General features: G+C 38.9%; 1 annotated feature.

The window, feature by feature from the left end:
• Window positions 7,402-7,696: a silencer, noted in NCBI's record as "tiled region #14622; HepG2 Repressive non-DNase unmatched - State 24:Quies, and K562 Repressive non-DNase unmatched - State 7:EnhWF". NCBI's record gives its function as "represses a minimal TATA promoter and a strong SV40 promoter by Sharpr-MPRA in HepG2 and K562 cells {active_cell/tissue: HepG2 | K562}" and the evidence as "EXISTENCE:reporter gene assay evidence [ECO:0000049][PMID:27701403]".

The following is a 14,118-nucleotide window of genomic DNA, read 5'->3' as shown; positions in this document are numbered from 1 at the left end:
TCTTGGAGAGTAGAAGGAATGTGTTTGCTATTTGTTCTTACTTGAGCTCAGTTTCCTGCAATGACTTTTTGAAGTCTTCTATCAGGCTAACAATAGGAGACACAGTAAATTCATTTGTAAAAATTCTGTCTGACTTTGGTCTGTCGTCTGTGTTTTTAAATACACTTCAGTTATTCTATTACTATTCTGTTTAGTATCCACCCACATTTGGAACGCTTCCACCTTGAGTGGTAGACATATCTTTTTTTATTCCCATTTTAGAATTTGTTTTTAGAATTTACAACTTGTTTTTTAGGATACAGGATGGGCATAGATAGATACCATCACTTCTTAATAGAGTTTACATAATTTTCGAGGCCCAGTGCAAAATAACAATGTGAGGCCTCCTGTTCAAAAATTATTAAGATTTTCAAACCAGTCACAGCAGATCATTAAGCCCAGCACCAGGTCCTTCTGAGCACGGGGCCCTTCTCAGTGCAGGGCTCTTCTAAGCACAGGGCCTTATGTGATGGCGTAAGTTGCACACCCATGAAGCCAGCCCTGATTCTTGATTAGTCACAGGCAATGGGAAGGTTACCCAGGCCCTGTGTTTTCCCTCATCCACTTTCCTGCTTGCTGACTTAAGACAAATCTCTGGCCCTTTAGAAACTGCTACGTTGAGTTATATAACGAAAATAATGAAAATAAATGATATAAAATGAAATGTATTCATTTGAATACCTGGTAGAACTAAAGGCATTCAGTGGGGTGATAGGTAGAGATATTAAATAGAGAAACTTCTCCATTATCTGATTATTTTATTTGTTCTTATTGTGAAATAGTGTGATAGAATGGGAGAAAAGAAAAACCACAGCCGGGTACGGTGGCTCAAGCCTGTAATCCCAGCACTTTGGGAGGCTGAGGTGGGTGGATCACAAGGTCAGGAGTTCGAGACCAGTCTGGCCAATATGGTGAAACCCTGTGTCTACTAAAAATACAAAAATCAGCTGGGGGTGGTGGCGGGCGCCTGTAGTCCCAGCTACTCGGGAGGCTGAGGCACGAGAATCACTTGAACCCAGGAGGTGGAGGTTGCAGTGAGCTGAGATCGTGCCACTACACTCCAGCCTGGGTGACAGAGCAAGACTCCATCTCAAAAAAAAAAAAAGAAAAGAAAAGAAAAAAGAAAAACCACTAAAATGAAACTCAGATCCTCAAAAAGTTAAACATGGAATTACCATATGACACAGCAATTCCACACCTAGCTCTATACCCAAAAGAATTGAAAACAAGGACTCAAACAGTTACTTGGCTGATGGTTCTGCAGGCTTTATAGGAAGCATGGCTGGGTGGCCTCAGGAAACTTACAATCATGGCAGAAGGCAAAGGGGAAGCTGGCACATCTTCATATGGTGGATCAGGACAGAGAGCCAAGGGGGAAGTGCTACATACTTTTAAACAACCAGATCTCGTGAAAACTCACTCACTGTCATGAGAACAGTAAGGCGGGAGGTCTGCCCCCTGATCCAATCACCTCCCACCAGTTTCCTCCCCCAACACTGGGGATTACAATTCAATATGAGATTTGAGTGGAGACAGAGAGCCAAACCATATCAGATACTAAAATAAATAATAGAATCAATTCGAAACCACACTTCAATTCACTCTTCTCAACTCAGATAATGCAGAGAAAGTAAGTGCACTGAGTAATCAGTAACAGGGAATACACCTTCTTGGAAACAATGGATGTTTTTCACCCACTGTGACAAAAGTAAACTTCAACAGCTTCCCAAATATTAAAAGAAAACAGGGCTATTCTGTACCCATAGTAAATTAAAGTAGAAAATAATTACAAAAAGAGGGAAAAAAAACCCACCACTGAGATTTAAAAGAAAATTCTCCTTTTAAGTACATTTGTGTTGAAATGAAAATATTAACTAAAATACTAGAATGTCTAGAAAATAATAACGAAAATAATACATGTCAAAACGTGTGGAATATGGCTGTTCTATACCTTTAAGCTATGAATTTAAACACTTACTTTACTAAAAATTTTAGTTAATTAGTTAATTGCACATTTAGCGCAAGAATTTATAAAAAGAAACATAAAATTAACCTAAGAAAAGAGAAGAAAGAAATTAATAAATGTAAAAGCAGAAACCAATAAATTAGAAAACAGGAAAACCAGAGAACTAAGAAACAGAAGAGCTGGCTCTTTTTAAAAGTAATAAAATAAAACAAGGTGCTAGCTAGCCCCATCAAGACAAATGGGGAAGGTACAGAATTAAGAATGAAAATAGATAATTAAGCAAAGAGAAATTTTTTTAATTGTTATTTACCATAATTTCACGCAAATAAATTTTAAAATTTCAATGAAGTGAATGTTTTCCTAAGAGAAAATGTTTACCCTAATTGAGTCAAGAAGAGATAGAAAATAAAAATAGTAAATGCAGAAATGGGAAGATTTAAATATAGGAAATAAAATATAAAGGCCTAGAAAGTAATTTGAGTGATTTTATTTTTAAATTAATTCCATTGTTTTATTGTGATAAAATACACGTAACATAAAATTTACAGTTTTAACAATTTTTAAGTGTACAATTCAGTGGCATTAAATCTATTCACGGCACTATTCATCTCCAGAATTTTTCATCATACCCAACAGAAACTCTCAGGCCGGGCGCGGTGGCTTACACCAGCACTTTGGGAGACTGAAGCGGGCAAATCACTTGAGGTCAGAGTTCAGGACCAGCCTAGTCAACATAGCGAAACCCCATCTCTATTAAAAATACAAAGATTAGCCAGATGTGGTGGCATGCACCTGTAATCTCAGCTACTCTGGAGGGTGAGACATGAGAATCACTTGAACCCAGGAGGCAGAAGTTGCGGTGAGCTGAGATCCTGCCACTGCACTCTAGCTTGGGCAACAGAGCGAGACTCTGCCTCAAAAAAATAAAAATAAAAAAAGAAACTCTGACCCCATTAAACACCAATTCCCCATTCCCCTACTCCTTAGCCCCAGGCAACCATTATTCTACTTTTTGTCTCTATAAATTTTCCTATTCAAGGAACTTCATACAAGTGGAATTGTAAAATATTTGTCAGGAGTGTCTGGCTTCTTTCACTCAGCATAATGTTTTTGAGGTTCATCCATATTGTAGCATGATCAGTACTTTCTTCCTTTGTAAGGCTTAACAATTAACAATATCCCATTGTGTATATAGACCACATTTTATCCATTCATCTGTTGGTGGACATTTGGATTATTTCTACCTTTTGCACATTGTGAACAGTGCTGCTATGAAGATTGGTGTGTAAGTGTCTGTTTGAGTTCCTGTTTTCAATTTTTTAAGGCATGTGCCTAAAAGTGGAATTGCTGGATCATATGGTAATTCTATGGAGTGAATGTATTTTTAATCTTGGTGAAAAAAACAGCCTTCTAGGCCAGAGATAAAATCCAGAAGCCATAAAGAGAATTATTTATAAACCTAACTACATAAAAAATATAAACTTCTTTATTTCAGAAAACGTTATTTCTAAACCGAAAGACTGGAGCAAATACTGCAACAGATATGACAGTGAGCTCACACAAATCATTAAGAACAGATGGATAATCCAATAGAAAACAGGCAAGCAGGAAGTTTCTGGAAGGGAAGGGAGGGGAAAAAAACGGCCAGTGAACTCATTCTGACTTATAATTTAAGAATCAAAAATCTTGGGAGGCTGAGGCAGGAGGATCACTTGAGCTCAGGAGTTTGAGACCAGTCTGGGGGAACATAGTGAGATGCTGTCTCTACAAAAAAAAAAAAAAAAAAGCTGGGCATGGTGGTGTGTTCCTGTGGTCCCAGCTCCTCAGGAGGCTGAGGTGGGAGGGTCGCTTAAGCCTGGGAGGTCGAGGCTGAGGTGAGCTATGATTGTATCACTGCACTTCAGCCTGGGTGATGAAGCGAGACCCGGTCTCAAAAAGAAAAAAAGAAAAATCAAAATCAAAATCAAAATAACAATGAGATATCATACTAAACTATGGGTTGCCCAAAAAGTTTAAATTTTATAACACCTAGTAATGGCAAGGGTGTTAGGATACATTTATATACACTTGTTGATGGACATATAAAGTTCTTCAATGTTTTTGGACAGCAATTTGGTGACTTCTTTTAAAGATGATATGACACATGATTTTAGTCCCAGCAGAGATGTAGATAGATAGATACATGTTTCAACATTGTCATGCTAAAAAGTTGAAAGAAACCTGAAGGTTTATAGTTACAAGACTAAGTAAATTATAATACAATCAAGCAATGGAATGCATTCAAAGATAATGGTAATTAAATTATGAAGAATCAGGCTCGCCAATCTTCTCTCCTCCCCATGGATTCTCTTCACCAGGTTCTAACATATTTGGAATTCCCTAGCATGGTGCTTCGCAGGGTGGTGGGGGGCGGGGGGGGCGGGGGGGGCGGCGTGTGTGTGTGTGTGCATGTGCACACATGTGTGTACCTGAATGTTCTACTAAAATTGTTAAGCGCCACTCTTCCTATATTTTGTTTCTTGTCTTGCTCATGTCACTGCCAGGAGTGAAGGGAAATTTTTTCCAGAAGTTTCACAAGCCTCACGCTGTTGAAGAACTTGGAAAGGGTTCACAAAAACCTGGGCATCTGGCCAGGCGTGGTGGCTCACGCCTGTAATCCCAGCATTTTGGGAGGCTGAGGAGGGTAGATCACTTTAGGTCAGGAGTTCAAGACCAGACTGGCCAACATGGTGAAACCCCGTCTCTACTAAAAATACAAGAATTAGCTGGGCGTGGTGGCATGTGCCGGTAGTCTCAGCTACTCGGGAGACTGAGGCACGAGAATCTCTTGAGCCCAGAAGGCGGAGGTTGCAATGAGCCGAGATTGTACCACTACACTCCAGCCTAGGTAACGGAGTGAGACCTGGGCATTTTTGGGACCCCTGGCAGGTGCCACACTGGAGCTTGTTCACTCCCCACTGCTGGGCTCTGAGTTGCTGTCCCAGGCTGAGCACACTGCCTTCAGCTGCCTTCCAGCACAGTTCTGCTCCTTGTTTTCCTGAGCTGTTTACTTGCCCTCCCTGAGGTTGGCAAAGCCCATCTCTTTTCATCTGGGAGTATTAGTCTCCAGATCTGTACAATTCAATCATTAGTCCCAATAACATCTTCACATTTTCAACCAAGAAGCCAGAAGAATTCCCGGTCCCCTGTGCCCTGTGGGGATAGACCAATGATCCCACATTTGACATACAGGAATGCCTTGGCTCACTCCACCATGACCTTTGCTAAACATCTTCTACTCCCTCCTTCTCTTAAATGCAATTAAACCTGAACCTATGTGTAATATAAATGTGATACTGAGCATGAATAAATGGTTTAATTCTCAACTTGTGTCCTATAGAAGCAACAGAATATGCTTAGGTTTAAAAAATGAAAAACTTACATTATTTACTATAATAAGGCTCTTCTTTTGTGCTATTAAGAAAGAAGTATTTTGATATCCTCATTTTCCTAGTATGTGTCCTAAATCAAAAGAAAATAGCCCCTTGCTAATTTTAACTCCAAATTTTTAAGTTAATGATCTCTATCTGGTTTTAGGAGCTATAATAGCAATCTAGTTCTGCCCTAACAATTCAGGAACAAAGAGCTATTAAAGATAAAAGTTGGGTCACATAACTGCTGGGTGTTAGAGGCTTCTAGGACTTTCCACTGCCCATTGAACATAATCCCAAACTGCCTATAATTACTGACTTCATGTGCCTAAACACGAGATCCGCTGTCCCCTCCGAGCCCTCTAGAGCATTCGATCACACGGGCCTCCTCTTTCATTCCTGGAGCACACAAGGCCCTTTCGTGTCTCAGGGCTTCTTTCTGTTTCCTCAACACACTTCATCACCTTTTGTTTTTTACAGCTTTGTTAAGGAATAACTCACGAGTCGTACAATTGATCCTGTTAAAGTGTACAATTCAGTGGCTGTTAGTACATTCACAAAGATGTGTAGCTGTTACCACGATCAACTTTAGAACATTTTTATCACCTCCAAAGAAAACCCCATATCCATTAGCAGTCTCGCCCCATTCCCCCATACCCTCAGTCCCTGGCAACCATTAACCTACTTTCTGTCTCTATGGATTTGCCTATTTTGGACATCTCTTATAAATGGGATTATACAATTTCTGGCATTTTGTGACTGACTTCTTTCACTTAGCATGATGCTTTCAAGGTTGATCCATGTTGTAGCATGTATCAATAATTCAATCCTTTTTATGGTTGAATAATATTCCACCATATGTATATTTTATTTATTCATGTTTTGTTGATCCATTCATCTGTTGCTGGGCATTTGGGTTGTTTCTACTTCTTGTCTTTTATCAATAATGCTGCTATGAACATTTGTGTACAAGTTTTTGTGTGGATGTATGTTTTTATTTTCTTTAGGACAGAACTTGCAGGGTCATATTGTCAGAGACGTTCAAACCGGAGTGACTCCATCTTGAATAGGGGCTGAGTAAAATAAGGCTGAGACCTGCTGGGCTGCATTCCCAGTAGGTTAGGCATTTTCAGTCACAGGGTGAGATAGGAGGTCAGCAGAAGATACAGGTCAATAAGACCTTGCTGATAAAACAGGTTGCAGTAAAGAAGCTGGTCAAAACCCACCAAAACCAAGGTGGCAACGTAAGTGAACTCTGGTTGTCCTCACTGCTCATTATACACTAGTTATAACGCGTTGGCATGCTAAGAGGCACTTCCACCAGCACCATGACAGTTTACAAATGCCATGGCAATGTCCAGAAGTTACCCTAAATGATCTACAAATGGGAGGAGCCTTTACTTCCAGGAATTGCCCACCTCTTTCCCAGAAACCTCAAGAATAATCCACCCCTTGTTTAGCATATGATCAAGAAATAACCATAAGTATACTCAGTCGGGCAGCTCATGCCACTACTATGGAGTGATCCTACTCCTATAGAGTAGCCATTCTTTTATTCCTTTACTTTCTTTCACTTTACCCTATGGGCTCGACCCAAATTCTTTATTGCATAAGGTAACAATATGGTAACTCTGTGTTTAAACTTTTGAGGAACTGTCAAACTGCTTTCCAAAGTGGCTCTACCATTTTACAATCCCATCAGCAGTGTAAAAGAGTTCTAATTTCTCCACATCCTCACCAACATTTGTTGTTGTTTGTCTTTTTTTATAATAGCCCTTCTTGTGTGTTTGATGAAATATCTCATTGTGGTTTTGATTTGTATTTCCCTTATGACTAATTGAGGATCTTTCCACGTGGGTATTAGCCATTTGAATAGCCTATTTGGAAAAATGTCTATTTAGAATCTTGTCCCTCTTTAGAATGATTTGTCTACCTGTTCACTTGTTTACCACCCCCCACTCCCCACCCTGCTGCTAATTTATAAGTTCTGTGAGGGTAGGCACCATGATGCTTTTGTTCGGTATTACATACCCACGACCCAAAAAACCATCTGACACATAGTAGAAACTCAATAAATAATTGTGGCTGATTGCATTAATGTCTTCTGTACTATGCTAATTAGAGCTCATGGAAATAAGATAATCAAGGGTCCAGGCACTCTAACTATAGCTCTCCACTCTTCTAAGCTCATTGGGTTGTTTTATGACCTGCTTAGACTTTCATAAGATCTGACTTGTGTTTAATACTTGGACATGTGCTGCCCTAGAAAACCTCTTTCTAATCTCAATATCAAAAGTTTGGCTTTCCAAGGAATGCTCTGTGTTTTTAGTCCACAAACAGGACATGCTTGCCATTCCTGTTACTGTTTTGCCTGTAGCTTTGTAGCCTTATTCTTCTGGATTCCTTACTATGTGAGAGTTAAAGAAAAAGTGAGAAGATGAGGAAGGTATTCTACATTTTTGTTCTTTCAGGTTAATGTGGCTGTAAAGAGAGGAATAAGATTAATGATAATCGCTCTCCTCTTTTTCTGACCTCCTCGGGGCCATCCAAAGTAGTTTGGAAAAGATATTGTAATAAAGCATTTTGTTTTGTTTTTGTTTTTGTTTTTTTTCACTCCTGAAGTTCATACCCCATCCCCACTCTTACTTAACTGCAGTGGCACTTAAAAGTCAATGAGATCACCCCAATATAAGATTAACTTTGTAGAATTCATGAATTCCATGAACCAAAGGAAAAATGGTTACTGGCTAGTTAAGACCATGTACGCACAATGCCCATTACTATTTGGTCAAATAACATATTTTTATCATTTCTAATGGCTACATAGCATCCCATTATATGAAAAATGATGCAATTATATGTTTATTGTTGAGTGGTGAAAATCCCATCTTTATTTTAAAAGTATATAGGAAAATAATGTGAAAATATATGCCAACTCTTAATATGGGTATCTAAGAATGTCTAAGGTAATGGATGGATTTCACTTTACTTTCTTCTTATTCATCTCACTTTAAAACTATTCTACAGTGGGAATATGCCAGTTGTGTAATTTGTAAAATGAAATAATAATGATGTGCAGCTATCAGTAAAGATATTCTGTGTCCAGAGTGAGCCAGTGACGCCTTGTGAGTCTGAACAGAGAAGCGCCTGCCTAGCTTCGTTCAGGTCTCCTCGCTCCTCCCAGGCCTAGCCTCGCCTTGTCCGCTGATCTGTCTGTGAGTCATCATTTGCTTTATTTCCCACCACACCCAGTCTCAAATGAATGTTCACTTCCTTCACAGCAAGTTCCTACTCTAATTGCCAAGGACTTCTATTTCTGTCTTCACAATGGGTCAAAGTTCAGACTACAGAAAATTAACTCTGTATTTTCATTAGCAGGGCTACTCTTTTCTACTACGCAGTTGCTATTAACATTTTCTTCCATGTAGATCTATGTAATTGGTGAAATCTGTCTGTCTCACAGTCCTGCAAATACGCCTTCTGCACATGCCTGAAAATTCCCCCTCCCCTAAGTAACTACAGTGATTTTATGAGCTCTCACTTTTACCATGAGAATGAACACCTTCTAATCTGATTTTATCCAAAAGAATGTCTCTCTGTTACTCTCTTATTAAAAAGTCATCTCTTATCAATGCTTCCCCTTCTACCTCCACCCTCCACCACCACTCTTTTGAGGACGTAGAGGTTTAAATTAACCTGCACTGTTTAAAATAATGAACTATTAGACATAACATAAAGATCCAACCAAAAGGAAGAGGCAAGGAGCAGCATGGCCAGGTGTTCAGAGCTTGGACTCTGATCCTGGACCATTTGGGGTTGAACCCCAAATGGCAAGTTAATTACCTTCTCCTTAACTCAGTTTCTCTGTAAAACAGGAGTAATCATACTACCTACCTCACAGGCATGCTGTTACAGTGCTTAGAAAAGTGCTGGGCACAGAGGAAGCACTAGGTTTGTTAGTTGTTAATATTTTCAAGCCTACAATGGAATATAATGTAGTCATTACAATGGGTGATGAAGATGCATATTTATTAGCACGCAAGCTGCTTCACAATACGGCATTAGCTCAAAGAAGCAGATTTCAGGATTTCAGGACAGTGGCTACAACATGATCCCATTTGAAATATACATGCATCATGTATGTATATGGATCTATGGACGAATATAGCACTGATATGCTAGCAGTGGTTTTTACTGGGTGGTAGAGTTTTAATTGATTTTATTCATTGATTAGTTTCTTTTTCCTTATTTTCTAATTTTTCAGCATTAATTATGCATGACTTTAGTATTGTTTTAAAATAAAGAAAATAATTCTCTACTTGCCTGGTTGAATCCTGTGGCTTCAGGGTTTCAGATCCTTTTTATATGGGAGGTACATAAACACCTACATTGTTAGGATTGTTTTGTTGTTTGTTTGCTTGCCTGTTTTGGGAATGAATTATATTTAGACAGTAGTTAATCACTTTGGTTTTAGTCTTTTTACAAATGTATGTTTCCTTAAGTATCTAGTCTCTCTCTCTCTCTCTTATTTTTTTTTTTGCTAGAAGGTATCTACTCTCATGGAAGCTTAAGGAAGCACAGTTCAGCTCAAGCAAGCAGTAGAACCTAGGTCTCTTGCCTCCTACTCCAGGCTTCTTCCAACTACACCACCTTTGATTAATAACCATTGATCCCTTATGTTTACCAGAGCCTGAGGTGCTCTAGTTGCCCATGAAGATTGTTAATTAGCTATAAGTTTTAAAAAACATTCCACAACAGGATTAAAGTAACAGGACTTTTAAATTCTTTTAGCTGAGAGGTACCAAAATGTTTGAACAACAATATTTGATTAATTAACATAGAAAATCAGGTCAGTCCCAATTGGTTTCTGTCTGCAAATAAAACTTAAATCATGCTGGTTGTACTTATGCAATGTCAGAATAGTTTGTCCAATTCAGGAAAAACAGATCAACTGGTTTGTTTGGTATTACATAGTCCAAATATCTGGATGCCTGGATTTTATAGAGGTTGGGGCTCAGAGAATGATACCCCAAAGTATCAGCTGTGGCATGCTGAGCACTTTTGAAGTGAAGGAAATTGGAAGTCCTTAAAAGCTGCCTTTAGAACCAAGGACTTTGTAACCTTCCCTTGTTTCTACCCCTAAAGTGCATGAAGGGGCTCTCTCTGGGAGTTCCTTTATCTGTGGGAAGAAAACTTCTTGGAAAAGAGATTCAATTTTCTTAAAACCCCTTATCTATGAATCTCATCAAATAACCAGGAAAGATTGGCCACCAAAGAGGAGAAAAGACTAAAAGTCACCTCCATGCCCAGGCAGACTTCTATTCTTCTGAGGCAAGGTCCAAGAGATTACCTGGAAGATTTTACTTACATAATAAGACAACCTTTGTTCATAGTGAAGTTCTACCCCTCACTTTCTTGAAATTTGTCAGCCACCTCTCCAGAGCTCAGAGAAATTTTGTCCCAGGCTATTGTCTCTTCTATGGGCTTATTCATTTCCCCTGAAAATCATTCATTACACCTCAAAATTGCCTACATTCCTCTATTTCTCTCCCTTCTGTGAAGAATGTGCTATTTAAGCTTCACCCATCTGGCCCTTCTTTTAGTATCATATTTTGTATGGCTCCCATACACACTTACACATTAATAAACTTGTATGCCCTTTCTCCTCTTTATCAGTTTATTTCAGCAGACTCAAACCTTCAGAGGGGAAGGGAAAAATTCCCTTTGCCCTTACATAGAAGTTGGGTGTTTTGTTGCTACTGTCTGTGTTTCCTTTTCTCTAAAACACAATAATGATTCATACTCCAATATCCTTCATGAATTTTTTTGAAAATAAGCAGGACAAGTTCTACTTTTGTCTAGAAAAGTATTACTGTAAGACCAAAGAGCTTCCACACATCCCTGTTGAAAAAGGTCATGATGACTTCCTGTAAGAACAGTGGACCTAAAAATATGAACCAGAATCCATCACAGCACCATAGCTGGCAGCCCAGTAATGTATGACATAAGGAGACAATATTCTTATTCAGGATCAAGGTTAAGAATTGATTTTTTTTTTTTTTAAATAGAGATGAGGTCTTGCTATGTTACCCAGGCTGGTCTTGAACTTTTGGCCTCAAGTGATCCTCCCACCTTGGCCTCCCAAAGTTCTGGGATTATAGGCATGAACCTCCACAGCAGCCTGATTGATATTTTTTAGTGTGCCAAAATTTATTTATTTGTCAACAACCTTTCCCCTCCAGTTTATATTCAAATAAAATATCACACATGAAAGCCACTTTTATTACGACATGCCTATGATAGCAGAGTGATGGATGAGGGAACAGGCTGAATGTTCAGTATAAATGCCCTAAAATCCCTGCATTCTTGGTGATTCTTCTCTTTTTGTCTAATTGTGTGGCAACATCCCCTGCTCTGACTTACACCTCACCATCTTGTTTAGGCCTGGACATAGACTTCGCATCTTTACCACACCAGACATGAAGCATCATGAGTGGCTTTAGATATTCAGGATTTCTCAAAGTCTCATCCCAGAGCCACCTATATCAGGATAATCTGGCTGCTTATTAAATATCGCAACAATCTAGGTCTCACTTCACAGGTACTGAATAAACATTTCTGGAAGTGGAGCTTGGAAATCTGCATACTAATCAAACTTTCCCAATTATTCTATGTACTCTGCAGTTAGAGAAGTGAAGAATCCAATGTTTAGGTCAATATTCTTCTCTCTGGAGACTGACCTTGTCTTAGTCAGCATGAGCTGCTATAACAAAGTACCAGAGACTGGGTGGCTTGAACAGTAAACATTTATTTCTCATGGTTCTGGAGGCTGGGAAGTCCAAGATCAAGGTGCTGGCAAATCCAGTGTCTGGTGGGGGCCCACCTCTTGGTTTGCAGATGTCTATCTTCTCATTGTATCCTCACATAATGGAGAGCAGAGAGCAAGAACAAGCTCTCATGACCTAATTATGTCCTAAAGGCCCCATCTCTTAATACCATCTCATTGGGGGGTTAGGATTTCATCATGTAAATTAGGGGTAAACACAAAACATTCAACCCATAATAGACCTTAAGCCAGAGTGTTATGCATTGGACCAGAAGCCAATGGCACCACCTATCTCCTTACCCTGCTGTCCAAGATGACAGGGGTGAAGGCAAGAAACAACCCCAATTCACTGCAAATGAGAGTGTATAATAGGACACTGGTAAGAGAATAAAAAAGCTAGTCAAGAGTTTGGATAAAATATTTGCAAATCATGTATCTGATTTTAAAAACTCATATCGAGAAATATCTAAAGAACTGTCACATTCCAATAATCAAACAAAACAAACAACTCAATTAAAAAATGATCAAAAGATTTGATTACACACGAGAAACAGATGGCAAATACACTCATGAAGCTCATGAATGTTCAATATCATTAGTCATTAGGGCAATGTTCAATATAATTAGTCATTAGGGCAATGCAAACTAAAAGCACAATGCAATGCCACTGAAAACCCAAGAGAATGTCTACAGTTTTTACTTAACTATTTTTAAATATTTTCTAGATATGGGGTTTCACTCTGTTGCCCATGCTGGAGTACAGTGGAGTGATCCTAGCTCACTGCAACCTCAAACTCCTGGGTTCAAGCGAGCCTCCTGCCTCAGCCTCCCAAGTAACTGGGGCTATGCCTGGCTTATAATAAAAAAAAAAACAAAAAACAAAAAAACAAAAAAAAAAACTGACAATACTGCCAAGGATGCAAAGCAATTGGAAATCTTATCAAATACTAGTGGAAATGCAAAATGATACTGCCACTTTGGAAAACTGTATGGGAGTTTCTTTTAACACAGCATACAACTCAGCATTTCTACTCCTAGGTAATTTACTAATAGAATGGAAATGCTTGTCTACGCAAGTACTTCTAAGAGAAAGTTCATAGCAGCACTGTTCATAATTGCCCCAAACTAGAAACAATCCAAATGCTCTATTAATAGGTAAATGTATAAACAAACTTTGGTATATCCATGTAATGGAATACTGCTCAGATATAAAAAGAAACAAGTACTGATATGCACAACATAAATGAATCTCAGAAGCGTCATGCTGAGTGAAAACAGTGAGAGACAAAAGGCCACATTTTATATGGTTCCATTAATACAACATTCTGGAAAAAACAAAGCTATAGGTACACAAAACAGATCAGTAGTTTCCAGGAACTGGGGATTGGTGGGAGGAGACTGACTTCAAAGAAGCAAAGTGGAACTTTGTGGGGTGATATACTCAATATCTTAGTTGTGGTGGTAGTTACATCTCTACATTTGTTTTACAAAACTCATAGAATTGTATTCATAAAAGGGTTAAATTATACTGTAGGTAAATTTTATATCATTAAATCGGACATTAACAACAACAACAACAACAAAAAGTCTATGATAGAGTCTGTGGGCCCACAAAACATGTGCAGTAATATGTTCACCATTTCCCAAATCAAAACTTACTTGTGCTAGTGGAACTAAAATAAGAAAGAAGTGATTCCATAAAAAATATACAGAGGAGGCCGGGCGTGGTGGCTCATGCCTGTAATCCCAGTACTTTGGGAGGCCAAGGCGGGTAGATCATGAGGTCAGGAGTTCAAGATCAGCCTGGCCAAGATGCTGAAACCCCATCTCTACTAAAAATACAAAAAAAAAAAATAGCCTGGTGTGGTGGTGGACGC

Source organism: Homo sapiens, chromosome X, assembly GCF_000001405.40.
Source record: "Homo sapiens chromosome X, GRCh38.p14 Primary Assembly".
NCBI lineage: Eukaryota > Metazoa > Chordata > Mammalia > Primates > Hominidae > Homo > Homo sapiens.
The sequence above is the reverse complement of the archived record's forward strand: the minus strand, read 5'-3'. Positions and strand labels throughout refer to the sequence as shown.